This window comes from Homo sapiens, chromosome 16 (assembly GCF_000001405.40).
Source record: "Homo sapiens chromosome 16, GRCh38.p14 Primary Assembly".
Classification (NCBI taxonomy): Eukaryota; Metazoa; Chordata; class Mammalia; order Primates; family Hominidae; genus Homo; species Homo sapiens.
In genome coordinates, this window is record NC_000016.10 from 64,388,644 (window position 1) to 64,408,729 (window position 20,086).

At 35.6% G+C, this 20,086-nt stretch overlaps 1 long non-coding RNA gene across 3 annotated transcripts in view; it reads left to right on the plus strand.

Annotated features, from left to right (window-relative positions):
- Positions 1-20,086, plus strand: part of LOC105371310 (uncharacterized) — a 134,908-nt gene that overhangs the window by 44,339 nt on the left and 70,483 nt on the right. The window contains exon 1 of one of the 3 annotated variants that reach the window (XR_001752236.1): positions 2,063-2,352. The exons of the other annotated variants lie outside the window; for them this stretch is intronic. This is a non-coding gene — a long non-coding RNA (uncharacterized LOC105371310). Of the gene's footprint in view, positions 1-2,062; positions 2,353-20,086 lie in introns of those variants that run through there. 3 annotated transcript variants of the gene reach the window in all.

The window sequence follows — 20,086 nt, forward strand, 5'->3', positions numbered from 1 at the left end:
ATCATTTACATTAGGTATATCTCCTAATGCTATCCCTCCCCCCTCCCCCCACCCCACAACAGGCCCAGGTGTGTGATGTTCCCCTTCCTGTGTCCAGGTGTTCTCATTGTTCAATCCCCACCTATGAGTGAGAACATGCGGTGTTTGGCTTTTTGTCCTTGTGATAGTTTGCTGAAAATGATGGTTTCCATCTTCATCCATGTCCCTGCAAAGGACATGAACTTATCCTTTTTTATGGCTGCGTAGTATTCCATGGTGTATATGTGCCACATTTTCTTAGTCCAGTCAATCACTGATGGATATTTGTGTTGGTTCCAAGTCTTTGCTATTGTGAATAGTGCCGCAATAAACATACGTGTGCATGTATCTTTATAGCCGCATGATTTATAATCCTTTGGGTATATACCCAGTCATGGGATGGCTGGGTCAAATGGTATTTCTAGTTCTAGATCCTTGAGGAATCGCCACACTGTCTTCCACAATGGTTGAACTAGTTTACAGTCCCACCAACAGTGTAAAAGTGTTCCTATTTCTCCACATCCTCTCCAGCACCTGTTGTTTCCTGACTTTTTAATGATCGCCATTCTAACGGGTGTGAGATGGTATCTCATTGTGGTTTTGATTTGCATTTCTCTGAAAGAGAATGTTCACAACTTCCACTGTACTCACAAAGAACTTTGTACCCTGGGTTGCACTTCACTGTATAATTTAACTTTGGGTTTGTCTGTCCATTGGTCCCACTTAGTATCTTGTGATTACATTGTGTTCTCATCATGCCTTATCTCTGTGTATCTAAAATCTTCACATAAAAATAGGTGGTTAGCAAAAAAAAAATGCTTTTAAAGGAATGGATGCATTGTTAAGTACAGGCTCTCAGAAATGTATCCCAAGATTTTTTTAAAATTACATTTGGAAACAATTATAGAGTCACTGAAAATTGCAAAGATAGTACAGAAAGTTCCCCTTTGACCTTCATTCAGCTTTCCCTAATGGAAACATTTAAATAACTATTGGACATCTTCAAAACAAGGAAATTGATATTGGCACAATACAATTAACTAGAATCTACTTGGATTTCATCAGGTTTTGCATGCACTGTTTTTTTTTGTGTGTTAATTTTTGTAATTTTGTGTATAGTTATGTGAGATTTTCTCACCTGCATAGGTTTATACAAGTCAGATACTGAAATGTTCTGCCACTCAATGGACCTACTTTTATAGCCACACCCTCTTCCTCTGCACTAACCACAGGCAACCATTGAGCTGTCCTCCCATTGCTATAGTTTTGTTGTTTAGAAAATGTATAAATGGAATCATCTAGCACTTAACTTTCAAAGATTGACATTTTTCACTTAGTGTGATGTCCTTGAAATCCATCCAAGTTGTCCCATTACCTGCAGTTTCTTTCTTTTTAGCACTGGGTAGCATTCTATTATGTGATTGTACCACAGTGTGTTTAGCCAGACTCCTCAGATATTTAATATAATTTTCAATTTTTTTCATCATTACCATCTCATGCTTACACTTCTCATAGGTAATAGTTTAAAAATTCTTTTCCCAAGATCTTTCTTGTGAATGTTTCTCGTTAAATTCTCTATAAATCATGTCCCTTATTGATGTGCCAGAGAGGAATATTTCGACATCTAACTTGGCCCTCCAGCATTCTTCAACTTGGAACCAAGTTGAAGGATACAACTTCCCCAGTAGTAAGAACAACATGGTTATAGGATCTTGGCAAAAATTTGGAACGTACAGGTTACAGTAAGTAATTTTGGTAAATGTTCCTAATTCACTCTGTTCCTTTGCACACATTAACATTTTACTCCAGGGTTCTTTAGCAACGCACTTTTAAGTGCTATCAGAGATAATTTATTTGTTCTAAACCATGCATAACTCAGTGAATCTGAGAGCTTGATCTTTGAGGGGGAACTGTTTTTAAAGGAAGATCATTTTATATTTGATACAGCTCTGGCAAGAACTGAATTTAACAAATCGATATACACTTATGGTTTCACCAAAGGCTTCGGGTGGTTAAGGAGGTGGTGGTGTGACTTGGAAAGGCATAGACAGCTTTTTATGACTCTAAGTAGTGGAGTTGACATTTTTTTTCAGTACAACGATTCAAACACACAAAAGGAATCCCCATGATGCTGAGTAAAAAATACTTTGTGTTTTCTTTTTCTGCTTTTTTTCAACTTAACCCTGAGATCATGAAAAAGAGTGGAAAGAAAAGAATAATAATGAGAATCTGACTTAGTAAAAGCAAAGTTCTTTCTCTGTTAGTATCACAAAAACAGAGAAGTCCCCAGGCCTTTCATGTGTATTCTGGAAGGAACGCCCGCTTCCAAAAATGGTAAGTTTAACCTTCTCTAAGTTACATTTTCCTGAATAATCAAGGCTCAGTCTTGTTCTTTTGTTACTGAATACATCTCTCATAAAACTCAGACGCCTTTTTGGGTTGACCCTGGAGCTGAGGGTGGAGGCAGCAAGGAGGTGGGTTAGGAGGAAGCCCATGTATTTCATGTTTCTTCTAATCAGTTTCTTTCAGGTGCTTCTTCAGGGACTGCCTGATCCCTTCACAATGCTCCTGCTCCTGATCAAGGAAAAGACATATGATTTTGCAGTCTCCTTTAGCTCTCCTTCATGGAAATGATTCTCTTGATACTGAAACTAAAACATATTCTAGGCATGGCTGAAAAGTAAGCATCCCGGGCCTCTTTTCAATTTCTCCAAGCCCCAGCCGCGATTGGAAATTGTTAAGCAGTCTTTCTCATAGTTTCTTTCTGTTTTTACTATTTTGGTTTGCTTTATATGAATCATTTTTCACTGCAGCAAGAAAAGTGAGGGAGTGAAAGGTAACAGAGTGCTGGGGAATAGAATAATATTTGCTCTCTGCTGAGTCATCTGACTCAGATCATTAGTAGGGCCCTTTCAAGGCTGGATTTCTAGCTGGAAAGGGATTTTTAAAATGAGAAAAACTGAAAATAACCCCCATGCTGATGGTCAGGATTTAACTAGGAATAGAAGTTTGCCTCCAAGAATGTTAGGAGAAATTTCTGAGAGGATCTTGCCTAAAACTTGTCACTTGTGGATTCCAATTTTTAACTTTGAGTTTTATATTGAAATAAATGTGTCATGTTCTCCTAGTATCTGTGAAATATTTTTATTCTATGATAGGATAGGTTAGAAACAAAAGCAGGGAATTTTCCAAACCTTGGTACATGTTGTGAGTGGATATTTGGTGTCATAGAGAGAATTAGGTATTGAAGACAGACAGCCCTGACTGGGTTTCCTCCATATATAGTTTATCAGCTGATGATTTCTTGAGAAGCGTGTTACCTTTTTGATCTGGAATATTGTAATGCTACCTTTCTTTCAAGGGTGCTGCAGGGATTATAATGTGGAAAACAAATCAATTTATTATTAGAAAAATAGTATTATTGTATTATTAGAAATCTAAATTAGAAAAATTTAGTTGTTGTACAGGCCTTCAAAATAGTTTACACAAGCACCCTGCATTTAACAATAGTAAATCAAAACCTAGTGATCTGAATTTATAAACATAGAAAGCTAGTATTAGAGACCGTCTGACTTTTAGGTTACTGTATGTAGAATACTTTTGACTTATATTCGTAACTTCTGTGTATATACTTGTAAATATTTATAATATTAAATATAAATATTTATAATATTTAATACTATAAATATAATATTAAATATTATAAATATTTAAATATTTATAATACATTTACTCACTATAATACTGAGTAAATAATTTCAGAGTAAATTTGGCATATATCTCATAATAGAAACATTGTAAATACAGGTAAAGGATTTGCAAGCAATGACAACTCAAATGAAAATAAAAGTGATTCGGCTAGATCCAAACCAAAGATGAAATTGAACATGAGGATACAACATGAGTTCACTTATTTTTATCATATCCAGCCTACATCTGACTTTGTTACCCAATAAATGTTATGCTGGGACTGTTATATAACATTCCACATTCAGCTGTTGTTCCAGCAGATGACATTAAAACTCCTTCAACCACCATTAAGATAACAAGTAAGTTTCACTTCCTTAGGATTTCTGGCAATAATTGAAAACTTATTTAACATATGCCTAGAAAGACAAGCTGAAGAAGAGAACAGAAAAATGATTATTCAACTTGTTCAGAGTCTGCCTAAAATTACTCCAGAATGATTGGACTGACAATTCCCATTGGAAAGGAGGCTTGTGGCCCTTATGGTCATAAAAGGCATATGATCTGTGACCTCTACAATACAAGATGAGAAAGACAAAGCTGGGTGTACAATGTACAGATGTTGAAGGAGATAGAAATGTTGTTTCATATTTAAGGATTAAAGATACAATTTAATTTTTGAAAATACATAAATTACATGATACATAAACAACCTCCTCTATCTCCTCTAAATCATATTACTCGAACAAACCACAGCTTTAGCCTAAGAGAAAGCTTTTCCAATAACTAAGTGAACTGATAGAGTTTCTTTTTATTTAAAAAAAAAACCTACTTAATAAACATGTAAGTGTAGAGTACAGTATTGTTAACTATGTGCATTGTATATAACATAACTCCAGACAGTTTTCATCTTGCATAACTGAAACTCTATAGCCAGCGAACTCCTTATTTCCCTCTCCCCGCAGCCCCCGGCAATCACCATCCTACCTTCTGCTACTAAGAGTTTGAGTACTTCAGATGCCTCAGATAATTGAAATCATACAGTGTTAAATGAATTGAAAACAAGATTTCAAAGAGATATACTTATAGTCTGAAGTTTATTCTAGCATTATTCATAAATGCTGATATATGAAATAACCCCAAAGTCCATATATGAATAAATGGATAATGAAAAGGTGATAACAATCTATTTATCTCTAGATATCTATCTATATGTCACATCTATCTGTCTATCTATTTATCTATCTATCTCTACCTATCACTTATCTGTTGATAGATAGATATCTATAGATAAAGAGATATAGATTTCTCTCTCTCTATATATATAGGTATCTACGTATTTATATGTAGATATAGGTGGATATAGGTATCTACATCTTCATATAGAGAGATAATCTGTCTATCTATCTAATACAGTCATGGTCTTTTAATGATGGGATACTTTCTGATAAATGCATCCTTAAGCGATTTTGTCATGCATTGACAGAGTGTACATACACAGACCTAGACAGTACAGCCTATTACATGTCTAGGTTAATTATGTAAACATTTCTTACAAAGAGTTTGAGGCCAACCTCTTATATAAAATGTAAATATTACCAGGAAAAAACATATTCTATGTTTTATTAGTTTTATATAATATAAACAAGAACTTTTGCTCTTTGGACCTCAACATTTCTTACCGGTTTGGGGGGGTAAAAAAAAAGAAGGGAAGAAAGAAAATAATTGTAGCTCGTTATTTTCTAAAGGAAGCTTGATAGTTAAAAGTTTATGAAAGTTAACCTGATGGAGTTTAGAGATTTTCCAAGGGATTTGGAGTCTAAAGGCTTGGATCTGAGTTTTGAGTATGTCATTAAATGGCTTTGTGATCTGGTTTTGTATCCTCAGTTTTTTCATCTATAAAATTATGCTGATACAAGCTTTTCTCCAGTGTTTTTAGGTAAATCATGTGAAGCTGTATATATGAATATATGTTTTGTTTACTAAAAATATTAATGTTTTCTGATGATTCTATTAGTAGTGTTAGTCAATAGGATGTGCTACACCTAAGGACTGAAATGTTAACTTTATATATAAATATGTCAATATATACATATAACATTACTCTGTCATTTAACATGTCATTTAACATCTGTTTACATATTCTCTGTCTAGGTCATGCAGGTACTGGATCTTTACCAGTGTCTGTAAGTGAATCTGAAATTGTTTAGAAGGATCCCAGAATTTGAGAACTGGGTAGTAGGACCTGGAATCTGGGATCTAAAGATGCTAGGACAATTAATGAAGGCTATGCCAAAGGCAAATAATGATTCCAGATAATTAATGAAATTAAGAAACATAAACTTCTGGGATAAAAGGCATTTCTAAATACTTACTTATGTTTTCAAATGTATTCTTTATACAAACACTCAGTTATAATGTTGATTTCTTTTTTTTTTTAGGAATAACTTCTGAAATTTATTTATTTATTTTTATTATTATTATACTTTAAGTTTTAGGGTACATGTGCACAATGTGCAGATTAGTTACATATGTATACATGTGCCATGCTGGTGTCCTGCACCCATTAACTCGTCATTTAGCATTAGGTATATCTCCTAATGCTATCCCTCCCCCCTTCCCCCACCCTACAACAGTCCCCAGAGTGTGATGTTCCCCTTCCTGTGTCCATGTGTTCTCATTGTTCAGTTCCCACCTATGAGTGAGAACATGCGGTGTTTGGTTTTTTGTCCTTGCGATAGTTTACTGAGAATGATGATTTCCAATTTCATCCATGTCCCTACAAAGGACATGAACTCATCATTTTTTATGGCTGCATAGTATTACATGGTGTATATGTGCCACATTTTCTTAATCCAATCTATCGTTGTTGGACATTTGTGTTTGTTCCAAGTCTTTGCTATTGTGAATAGTGCCGCAATAAACATACGTGTGCATGTGTCTTTATAGCAGCATGATTTATAGTCCTTTGGGTATATATCCAGTAATGGGATGGCTGGGTCAAATGGTATTTCTAGTTCTAGATCCCTGAGGAATCGCCACACTGACTTCCACAATGGTTGAACTAGTTTATAGTCCCACCAACAGTGTAAAAGTGTTCCTATTTCTCCACATCCTCTCCAGCACCTGTTGTTTCCTGACTTTTTAATGATTGCCGTTCTAACGGGTGTGAGATGGTATCTCATTGTGGTTTTGATTTGCATTTCTCTGATGGCCAGTGAGGGTGAGCATTTTTTCATGTGTTTTTTGGCTGCATAAATGTCTTCTTTTGAGAAGTGTCTGTTCATGGCCTTTGCCCACTTTTTGATGGGGTTGTTTGTTTTTTTCTTGTAAATTTGTTTGAGTTCATTGTAGATTCTGGATATTAGCCCTTTGTCAGATAAGTAGGTTGCGAAAATTTTCTCCCATTTTGTAGGTTGCCTGTTCACTCTGATGGTAGTTTCTTTTGCTGTGCAGAAGCTCTTGAGTTTAATTAGATTCCATTTGTCAATTTTGGCTTTTGTTGCCATTGCTTTTGGTGTTTTAGACATGAAGTCCTTGCCCATGCCTATGTCCTGAATGGTAATGCCTAGGTTTTCTTCTAGGGTTTTTATGGTTTCAGGTCTAACGTTTAAGTCTTTAATCCATCTTGAATTAATTTTTGTATAAGGTGTAAGGAAGAGATCCAGTTTCAGCTTTCTACATATGGCTAGCCAGTTTTCCCAGCACCATTTATCAAATAGGGAGTTGTTTCCTCATTTCTTGTTTTTGTCAGGTTTGTCAAAGATCAGATGGTTGTAGATATGCGGCGTTATTTCTGAGGGCTCTGTTCTGTTCCATTGATCTATATCTCTGTTTTGGTACCAGTACCATGCTGTTTTGGTTACTGTAGCCTTGTAGTATAGTTTGAAGTCAGGTAGCGTGATGCCTCCAGCTTTGTTCTTTTGGCTTAGGATTGACTTGGCAATGTGGGCTCTTTTTTGGTTCCATATGAACTTTAAAGTAGTTTTTTCCAATTCTGTGAAGAAAGTCATTGGTAGCTTGATGGGGATGGCATTGAATCTATAAATTACCTTGGGTAGTGTGGCCATTTTCACGATATTGATTCTTCCTACCCATGAGCATGGAATGTTCTTCCGTTTGTTTGTATCCTCTTTAATTTCATTTAGCAGTGGTTTGTAGTTCTCCTTGAAGAGGTCCTTCACATCCCTTGTAAGTTGGATTCCTAGGTATTTTATTCTCTTTGAAGCAATTGTGAATGCGAGTTCACTCATGATTTGGCTCTCTGTTTGTCTCTTATAATGTTGATTTCAAGAACTAAACAAGAAGGATTCATAAGTGTTTCTCAAATACCAGTCAAGTGCTTATCCATCGCCCAGGCAACTTGCATGTATTACTTGTGTAATCCTCCTGATAACTGTATCAGATGGGTACTTTTATTTACAAATGTGGGACTGAGTTGCAATGAATACTTAAAGTGTCCAGAGCCATGATACAGAGATAGATCTTAGCCCAAATGTTCTACCTGTCTAATTATCTGTTATCTAAATACACATGATATATTTTTATCTATTTGTATTAGTTCATTCTCTCATTACTATAAAGAAATACCTGAGACTGGGTAATTTATAAAGAAAAGAGGTTTACTTGGCTCACGGTACTGCAGGCTGTACAGGAAGCGTGATGCTGGCATCTGCTTGGTTTCTGGGGAGGTCTCCAGAAAATTACAATCATGGGGAAGGCGAAGCAGGAGCAGGCACATCACACGGCCGGAGGAGAAGCAAGAGATCAAGAGTGAGGTGCTACACACTTTTAAATGACCAAATCTCATGAGAACTCACTATTGTGATAACAGTACCAAGGGGGATGGTGCTAAACTATTCATGAGCAATCTGCCCTCATGATGAGTCACCTCCCACCAGGCCCCATCTCCAACATTGGGGGTTACATTTCAGTAGGAGATGTGGGTTGGGACAGTTCCAAACCATATCACTATCAATGTTTCTTTGTGTGCATGTATTATATCTATCTATCTCTCTGCCTAAGTCTCTATTTCTATACCTAGATAGTACCTTGAGAAAGTAAGTCTATATCTTATTTTCATATTGGCATATCTTGCTCAAGTAATAGAAAGGGCCAACCACAAGTGAAAATCAACCTCAGGATCATGTCCACCATATAAAATAAAGAAAAAAGAAGAAGGAAAGGTTAAGAAATCTGAAATAATTTGTGAATATCGGACGGGGTAGTATTTCTCAGAAAAACATTTTAAATAATAGTAGGAATCCTGTTATAAGCTTCTATAACTCCATGGAAGAAATGGAGAAAACAGGGAAAAGTAAAATTAATTGTACAATTCAGTTACAGTTTAACACTTGATTCACACCTTATTAGGATGAATCAGCTCTTAGTATTTTCTCAGAAGACAGACAAATCTTAGGAAAACTCCAGGTGCCCCAGAAGCAATTTATTTGCGTTATAGTTTAGTTAATGGCTTTTGGAAGGAAAAAGAGCCTGATCATATCAAGAAATGTGTTATAGTTTTGTTTTGTTTTGTCACCTGCAAAACTTGGATCTGCCTGGAAAGTGGAAAAGAGGTAGGTATGTAAAAATATGTGTGCAGAATAGCCAGAGAACATGCATGATTTAGCATGAAGGCATATATGTTTCAAGTTTAAACTCTTTTATGAAGCCCACCAATGATCCGAGTTCTTTCACCTCCCTCCTGAATTTTCCCTCTCAGAACTCATTGTGTATCTCTAGCAGGCTGGATCCCTCTTCGGGAATTACCAAAGACCTCAAGAAATGCTTGTGAAACTCTTAACCCTGTACTGATTTTTAATAAGCTAGCTCATCTGATTTCTTTTTTAATCCTACTTAGTCCTTCCAAACCCTATTCAAACTCTTCCATTCATTCAAATTGTGAGTAACTTTTTGGCAGGGGCTTATCTAATTTTCCTATTTCCTCTGTACAGCATAGTGCTTTGCACATCAGAGCTGCTCAGTAATGTCTAAATAATTTTGTTTTCTTGACTGCTAGGGATCCACTACTAGAGGTCCCTGCATGCTGCTGTCCAGTTCTGCACTCCCTAAAATAAGTGCCTTATTATGCCTTTGCCTATGGCAAAGATAAAAATTTAAGTTTCGAGAGAATGAACAAAGTCACATGATTAACTAATGGGTATGAGGATGAGTTAAGCTCCATGCTTGTCCCATTGCCCTATAGTGCCTCAAAAGTTCACATGCAATGAATAAGACACATTAGGATATTTATCTGTGCCAAGGGAAGAGTGCAATAAAAGCTTGGAGAGTCTGTTCTTGCAATGACATTTGCACACATCCACATAAGTGAACACTCAAGTGACCCATTCTTTCTCTCCTATAATGCATGAGCTACCATTTGGAAAGGGATTGGAATATCTGCCAAAATGTTCTGAAAATGTTCATGGGTTTCATGATTCTCTTAAAATATTTTTTCCAGATTCGTATAGCCTTTTCTCAGTACAAAGAATGAATTCCACATTATTTCCTCCTAGAATAGAACTCAAAAATATTTCTTCCAAATGCTTCACAGCCTACCCTATACACTCTGCTCTTTGATGATGGCTCTATTTTAGAGCTCATGGTATGTAAGGCAGACGGAATGTTGTCTCATCTCCTTCCTGTCCATGCCAGTTTCTTCCTGTAAGCTACAGAATAAACTAAAGGAAGATGACTGCTTTATTTCTCACAACTAATATGATCCGTGATTCATGACATATATAGTTCTCTTGGAAGAATGTAAATAGGTTGTTTTATGCACTATAAGAGTCGGCAAAACCAATATTCATGGAAAATAATTATAGTTTTAAAGTACGCTGTATGTTTCAGGTCCTTTTATAGGTGGTTCACATATTTTATGTTTAATATTCAGTTCAAGCCTATGGTTGATATTAGTGTTAACATTTTACAATAAGAACTCTGAAGATTAAAGTGATAACTACCACAGAGCTAGCCAATGGTAAAACAGGATTCAATTCAAATTGATCTGTATAAAATTGAGTTCTTCTTAATGACATTTCACTGAGCAATTTTTTGTGGATGCCTTTAAACTCTTGTAGCATCATGATGAAGCAGAGAAAAGAATATCTTCTGAGGAATGCTATATAGCATAGTAGCATAGTATAGGGAAGGGAAGTAGACTTTGAAGCCAGATCCCCTGGGTTAAAATCCTGGCTCCATTATTTACAGCTGTGTCATTGTGTTTAAGTCAGTAAACTGCTCTTTGCCTCAGTTTCCTGATTTATAAAATAGAAGCAATGATAGTAGGTACCTCTTTGGGTTATTATGAGAATCAAATGAACAGTGGTGAGCACAGTACAGGAGGAGCTGTATGTGTTTGTTTGCTCTCACACCTTACCCCAGGCACTCCCTGGGCAAGAAACTACCTCACCATTGAGTTTTAAGAAGAATATAATGTGTAGACTAAAGAAACAAAATGCAACACCCTAGATCCTGCTATATACACGTATGCATTCAGTTTAACAAGAAGCAGTGGAACATGTCTATTCTGTCTTTTTTTGGAATTCTAGTCTGATGGTTTACTTACAAGGATAGAAGGATAAATTTAGAGATGAGACTACATATATATATATATGTATTATATATACATATGCATAAATATGTTTGGTCTGTGATTTTTGAGTAGGTATATGGTTTTCAACCATCACTGTCTGCACATGAAATAACACAGAACTTAAGCATTATACAACCCTAATTGTGAATTGGGAAAGGAGGGGAATTTTTTTTTCTTTTTCAAAATACTCTCCTTATGTCTCTGAGTTTCTGAAAATCTTAAGTAATTTTCCCCCCTTTGGCATCTTGTCATATCTTGAAGGTCAGGCTGACAGCAATGAACAAGCTCAATTTCTTTCTGATTTCCCAAGGATACTCACTGATACACTTTTTTCTGTAGTGTGATTAGGTCCCTCACATTAATAACAGAATACAGATCATCTGCAATTCTGAATATTAGTCTATCTTTAAAAAATGAGGGATTCATTTAACTAGTATTGAAGAACTAATTTAAAATTCACTAGCAATTCATTTTTCCCAGGTTATAGGATAGATTAAGAAGCACTGAATTTAAAATAAGCCTGAATCCTCAATGCATAGGGGAACATATTAAGAAACTATCTATAGGTAGCTTAACATAAAAAGAGAAATTTTTAAATTATAATTAAGTAGATATTATTTCTTGAGATTCTATCAACTGACTTAATGTTGTCTTAATTAATGTTGCAATATTTTTAAGAGAATATTCAAGCAGATACACATCTATACATATTGACGGGTGTATAGGATAATGAGTCACACTTCTTAAATCAGGCCAAAATCAGTTCAAATCCTCTCATTGACATTTAGTAGCAGCCAGATCTTGGGAGAGTTGTTTATTTAACCTCTCTTATCATCAGTGTCTTCATTTATAACAGTGAGAAAAATAATTTTAGGCTTAGAGTCAACCTTTTTAAATATCTATCACTTATTTCTTAGTCCACTTTATCACTAAAAATATCCCTTGATGTGTGTGTATATGTATGTTCAGCTATTCTATAAGAATGAAGGATTTGTAACGTCTCATACATAGGTTTGATATTTGGAGCTTTGGCTCCAAACAAAAATATTTTCAGCTTTATTAAAAAAAAGGAGTGTTTGGAGTGAACTGAAAGAAAAATAGTCATCCAAACAAAAAGTGATGATGCTTCTAACATCTTTTTGCCAAATTGATTTTTGCCTTTTAGGGTTAATTATCTACCAAGTGCCTTTTACCCCCTTGGTAGGGCCATCATGTTCTATTTATTTTAAAGTCCTTCCAGAAATGTTTAAGGAGATAGCAAACTCCGCTTGATCACTGGAATTTAGAAGGGGTTGAATACACAATGCCGATATCCAACAGGACCAATGCTCCTTTTTCCGACTTGTCCGAAACTCCAATTTTCTTTTTGCATATAATTTAACTAAAAAAAAAGAATTGAAGTTTGACCTTATTCTATGTTAATACCTATTACCTTGTCGGCAATTCTTCTTCATGAAAAATACCGCATTTTAAGTCATTCACGGAGGCCATGCTACCCAAGAGAAAATATTTGCAGAATATGATCATATCTGAACCAAAATGTTGATTCTGAATTGCTACTGTTCATTTAGTTTTCACTTAGAACTGATGTCATCTGGTAGAAACAATCATTGTTAACACATTCATCAATCTGGATTGTGTTAACTATTGAAAACTCTAGTTTATTTCATGAATCTCCCTTGTGTATATTGGCACATTTAGTGATGACCATTGGGCTTTGATAAATTTGAACTCCTGCAATTAGCTGTAACACCATTTATTTAAACAAAATTGTGGGCTATCTCTCTTTTAGATATTCACTATCTTTCAGCTTCTCTAAAATCTGACTATTTTCTTGTAATAATAAATTGCAGAGTAAGAAAAATTAAGATTAGTAACTGACAAAAGAATGGATAACAACAAAGAAATGAGTGACACTAATACTAATAACATCCAGCAGTTCCAAAGCATCTCCTATATGATAAACACTGGGTTAAACACTCTGTGTCAGACACCTCATTTAATCCTTACGAACAGCATATAAATTAGAAATAGTAATGTATTTCCATGTTACTAATGAAAAAACTGAGATCAGAGGGGTTACGGGATAACCTACTCAAGATTGTAATTGCAACACCAGACAGATGTGTGTGATGTATCAAAGTGGGCAGAGCTGGGCCTCAAGGAATCTTTGTTTTGTGTCATGTCATAACACATGGTTCTAACATTTACTATGGATTTGCACGGTCTCTGTATCTTTGTATCACTCACTGACTATTTCAGTCCTGGGCAGAAGCACCCACTTGACAGATGCTGTGGGGATTTCTTCCCATGCACACCTAGGGCTTATCATAACAAAGTGGGGTTTTATAAATGTTAAATTGGGTTATAGTTAGTTCCTAGAGGAACTGCATTTGTCCACATCAAGTCATCTTTATTCAAATATTCAATTATGTTTTTTATTTGATCAAAAGGTATGAGTTTTGTATACATATATAGATATACACACTGGCTGGATTTAAATAAGTATTGATGTTTAACAGTACTGCTTTAGAATCACTACTTGTTTTTATTATGAAAGAAAAATTTACAGAAAAGTTTTATGTTTATAACTCCATCGCTGATGTTAATCATGTTTTTATTATAATATCAAAATTTAGGTAGCTAGTGTCTACAATCAAGTAGTAATATACTTGGATTTTTACAAAATGTTTATATTCTTTCATCTTTAACTGTGTAACAGAATAAATTTCTATCATGTAATATTTGCATAAAAATATTCTTTCATCTTTTAAATGAAGAGCAATCATTGTCATGCACTTACATATGTCATTTCACATTGTACCATGTACATTTGAAATTTGGCCAATATTGTGTTAACATCAAGAAATAATGGGTAAATTAAACTCAGCCTGTGTGTGTGTGTGTAATACAAATTGTTTGGGTAAAAAAAAATTCTAGAAGTCAGGACAAGAACTGTGTCTTAATCATTTGTATTCCAGCAAAACATTGAAAATGCATATCCTCCCGAGTAGAAAGATTTGGCAGCATATACTGCTATTTTGCCTCTTCTTTTAAAGCTGAAATATTCGTATTAAGTTTTTGTTTGTGAACAATGAGAAACAATCAGTTAACTCAAAAAGAAGACGTTAATAGAAGGATATCAGCAAATGCACAGGGAGGCGAGTGAACCAGAGGAGGCTGGCCGGAGGAAATACAGATCCCATCCCTGCTTCTAGCTCTGCCTTTCCTCCCAAGAAAGGGATGCTGCTGCCTCCATTTCAAAATAAACTGTGAAGTGTCTACACCTTTCTCATTACTCATTGAAGATTCCAAGTCCTGAGCAAAAACACTGATTTGCCACAGAGAAGCTAGGTCATGTGACCACGTTTTAGTTACTAAAGAAGTAGGAGGAGGGAATACTGGGTGTTTTTATTTCTGAATTGGGAGCAGCAGAAACAAAAAGAGGTGGCAAATGTCTCCTGGGAAATGATTAAATGGGGCTGATCACCATTGATTTCAGTGAAGGGTTATTTTCACAACTAGAATACATTCATTTTGGAGGCGGAAAGCAAAAACAAATAAGGCCAGAAAAACTGTTCAAACATAATTTTGGCTACTGATTAACTTTGGGATGAAAACCATAACAGTTCCTTGGTGAAAATGAGAAGGTTCAAACTACCTAGCACTTTTCAGGTAGAAGAGGTTATCTGTCCAAGTGCAGTTACTGAACTAAATGAAAGGGGCAGGTTTATCATAATAACTTTTTCATAATAACTTTTAAGCTTCTTCCTCCTTGTATTCTTGGGGCTTACTAGACAAATAGAAAAAAAATCACACTTTTATATTATCTGTGGGTCTCCTTTGACAGCTGATTTCTTACAAAAGGTTTCAGAACAAACTGAAGTCATAACCAAATTCCACAATATAGCTGTTGCAGTCATTTCTGCCCAGCCACATGCTTTTAAAAGAAGAAGAAGAAGAAAAAAAACTAATGAATCTGATAAAATCTTATAGATGTTACCATATAAACAATACATAATTTTAAAAACAGGAAATTCTTACACAAATGGTCAACTGAATTCAGTATCTGGAGTGATGAAATTAAACATACCACGGCTTTTCACCTATGAATGAAGTTTTAGCACATAGGCTTGACATAGATTTGACTTATTTTACTAACACTTTGATTGTTTAAGCATTTTCATAGTTATACCACAATTTCCTTTCTCTCTCAATATATTAAAATAATAATGATTACAACCACCACCACCATTAAAATGGCTTTGTTGAATCAAACCCTTTAAACCAATGACTTATTTTGTCTTTATAATGACATGATATGAGCTTTTTAAAATGTTCTTTTTATTTTATTTGCCGGAGTCTTGCTATGTTATTTAATCATAATGGGGATAGCGAATATCCCTGAACAAACAGTCTCTAAGCCAGTACCTGTCACCTGATTCATAACACATGAATCTCTATTGAATGAAATTTGATGAAGAAACCATTTATTAAGTAATGCTAGATTAAAAGTAAGATGTAACAAAATGTTATACAGAAGAAGTCAGTCAAGAATAAGTACATCCTATATAATTCAATTTTATGAAGTTCAAGAACAAGTAAAATCTATATATGGTGATAGATATCAGTTTAGTGGTTTATCTCTGGAAGGGGTTTTGACTGGAAGGGTCAAAAGGAAGCCTTTTGGGGTACTGTAAATGTCTTTGATCTTATGCTTTATGCATATTAAATTATGCCTAAAAATAAATCATAAAACAATATGTATGTAGAGTTACTGATAAATTTTAAATATGTGTGTGGGGAGTTTAATTAATTTGGAAAACATTCAAACATACTAAATTTCTTTTTGTCTTAAGATGCTGCAATTGTGGGTAATTGTGTCTTTATGTCATATATTTTATAATTTTCTGTTATGATTATGTATATACTTTAATAAATGAAGCCAAAGATTTTATCATTGTATCACAATACCTATGAAGTCTCATACAGAGTTTATGCTCAAGAAAAATGAGTACAATTATTTGACCAGGAATAGAGCTGTTATTCTGAGTCAAAGGTTTTGAGCAGAAATAGATATTTCAGCTCACTCCATATATTTGTGTTTTGGATAAGTGTCTACTTTCTTCTCCATAGTACCTTTAGTGCCTAGAATAGTTCTTGACACAGAGTTGGATGCCTATTAAATATTTGTTAAATGAGTGAATGAATCTGATGCACCCTAAAATTATTATGAGCTTAAGTATAACTTGAAGCAGAACTCAAGTTTCCTCTACCTGTAATGAAATTGTGTTTGTCTCTACTCAGATAGGTCGTGAATAAACAATGAGGCGTTCTCTTAAAGAAAAGCGCTCCTAGTTTCAATAGCAAGTCATGTAGCACAGCAAGAAAAAGGGATGGGATTTAACAACTGACAGATTCATTTGAAATCCTGATTTTGTCACATTGTCTTTTTGTGAAGTTTGCCTGGCTGCCCAAATATTCAAGCCCAATTTTCTTTATCTGCAAAACAGAAATGCTTCTGAAATTGAAGTAGATAATAAGAGTCAGCCCCTACTAAGCATTCACTATGTACATTCTCTTTGCTAAAAGCATTGCATATGTTACCATATTGCTTGTATGCAGAGTATATGAATTACTTAGCATAAAGCTCAATAAAAATACATTTCTTTTCTATGGCAATTCAATTCTTAAGACCATTCCAATTAACTTTCTACATATTTTCTATTGTCTAATTTCTTTTCTTTGGGTTTTGTAAATTATTTTAGATTGTATTTTCTTAGCATTTCCCTAAAGAATTTAAATTTCTTAAAGGAATGAACCATTTGCTTTCTGAGTGGTATAAAGTTCATTGAATTACCAAATCTTAGCATGGCCAGTGATGACATGTAATCTTTCCCACAATAAATGAAGTATTTCTCTAATGAAGAGACATTTGATGGATTTAGGATAGAGGTTTTTTGTTTTCTGTTTTTTAGATAGGGTCTTGCTTTGTGGTCCTGGCTGGTCTTGAAATCCTGGGCTCACGCTGTCCACCTGCCTCAGTCTCCTGAGTATCTGGGACCACAGACACACACCACTATGTCTGGTGGCTTTATACTTTAAGTGAAGCAGAGTTATTCTCTTCTGAGATGCCAAGTTCCATTTTTTGACAACTTTGTGCCTTCCACTCTTAGACCTTCTTTTCTCTGAAACAACATAGTTCTCTGACAAGCTGGAGATGGTTGCATATGAAAATCCCCATAAATTGATCATAAAAATAAGAAGTAGGGTAGTGATAGCTCTATTCTATAAATTAAAACTTTGTAGGGAGTGGCATATTCGATTTAAGAGTTTTGACTCAGAGAAGGGTAAAGATAGTGGAATCTGGAATAGGTTCTGATAGGGAATAAGGGTGGTTGATTAAAAGAAGGTAGAAGAATTTCTTAACTTCCAGGGACTGGTGCCAACATAGGAGATGTCTTGGCTAAGAAAGTGGAGAAGTGACATTTGCAGAGAAGATACCATGGAAGAGAAAGGCAAACACAGACAGTCTCCCCCTTGAAAGTAGGTTTGAGAAAGGTGAAGTGTTGAGTGGATGGATTCAAGGACTCTAATCACATTAACAGTGCTGAAACCAATAGGAACTGATGTCCCTGGAGTTTCTCTATAGTGAGGGAACAATATCATTTCCTTGTGTAGTGTCTGCCATGTGTCAGGTTCTCTGCTAGGCATTTGGAGGAATTATTTCATTTAGTAGTCAGAGCAGCCTCCGTGTTAGGAATCATTATCCCAGATGAAGAAGCAGAGGCTGAGGGAGATGAGGTGGGAGAAAGAAAAGAAAAAGGCATAAAAACTTTCCTCCTTTGGAACACAAATGAGAATGAGGCATGAGTTTTTTTAAAAGTACTGAGATTTCTCTCTACACCCCCTCCCAGCTTCTTTTCATGTCCTCAAAAGGCTGGGATTAGGAATCCTCCCACAGCCCATGTCTCCTGAGAACTTACATAGCACTGCTTCTGATTAAACTAACAGATTAGACCCAATGGCATAAGGCACAGCTTCTCTCCTTTGAGAAAGAGCAAGTAAGAATGAAGTGTTAGATTGCAAAGCTAATTATACATTCTGTTCAAGTGTCAACCATCTGTTGCAATTGTTTAAAAAGCAGACATAAGTCAACTGTTGGGGCGGGATGTTTATTGTTGCGAACACACAGGAAGCTTTCAACACCCGTGGAGAACTCTTGATCTATCACGTGCCTGTAGGCTGCAGTGAGATTCTACTGATGTCTTGAGAAACCCACCTTTTCAAGAGAGGGTAAGTGATAGCTCCAGGTAGCTGAAGATTAAGGACCAGTCACAGAGACCCCTTCAGCACTGGAAAAGATCTTCAACATTATATGATCCACACTCAGTGTACAGATGGGAGAACAGAGATACAGTGAAGATAAGGCACTACCTATTACTTATAATCTTAACAATATTCTGCAGAAATTTTGTGTCTGCACATAGAGCCCTCTCTAAAGGAAGGGGTGGAACACTATTTTTTCTCTGTACTTCATGTATAGTATAATACTCAATGCAGAAAAACAAAAGGAAAGTTGCTCTCAACATTGGAAAGTCAACAAAGAGAAGGAAGTTGTCCAAAGGTGTGCTGCTAGTGATGACCAGGGTCATTTGTAAAATGTTGTAAAAATATAATTAGTTGTAGTGTGGATGAAAGTCAGGATGCACAGAGAAAGTGGCACATTCCCTCCTACGCCAGAGCCATGCTGTTCTTTTCCTTATCAATTTCTTTATTGAATAAGCTGAAAGTTCTACCAAACTGAGGCTGCCCATAATTCTCTTTGTTAAGAACAACTGGAATGAGGCTGAAAGTTATTTTCACGTACAAAATGGGAGTCAATTGACACCCAACAATAAAGAACACTAACTCAAACCAGAAAAACCATTTTCTTCTGGTTCATTCTATTTCTGAGTGAATAATGAAGTCTTTTTGATAAAAGCAAATTTTGCCTTTTTATATTAATGAATATATTTAGTCTCTGAGACAATCAAGGGGAGATTATTATAGGCATCATGGGGAGGACTGCCTCCAGCCCAGTTGCATTGGAGTCTGCAATCACCATGTGGAGGTGGGAAGCATTCTCTTGCATCCCTGGCTTCAGACCACTCACCAGAGATGTGCGTTTCACTATCAGCATGTCACAGTGCATTGAGTGAGTTATCTTTCATTGATTTGAATGAAAGATAACTTCCATGTTTCTTTTTGTAATTCTATAATTTGTTTCTAGTTTTGCCATCACTAGCAGCATGTCCCTGGACAATTTGCTTCTGTCTTTGTTGATGCTCCAATGCTGAGAAGAACTTTCCTCATCTCTTTTCTATGAAAAATTACAAAATCCCTTCACTTGTTCCTCATGAGACCTATTATCCCGACCCTAGGACTGTTTCCTGTGGAAGCATTCCTATTGTCAGTGACCTATGAAAATAACATGCTCAGGTTTGGCCAATGGAATTTGTGAAGAATAAGTCATGGTTCTAATAACACCTTGCCACTGAGTTCCTATTTAATTGAATCATACTCAGGGAGCCAGCTAAGAATAAGAAGTGATTTCAGATTAATTGCTTTTCCTCGAAACTGGACATGATTTTAACTCAGGACTTCAGTTGGCTGCTGAGTCTTTCATTTGCAATTTTCCCCCTATTTTCATATTCAAGTCTTGGGCATTGGGCCCTGGGTCAACAGAGGAATACCTGACTACAATTTTCCAGCCACCTACATAGTCATTTGCAGCCATTTCCACCA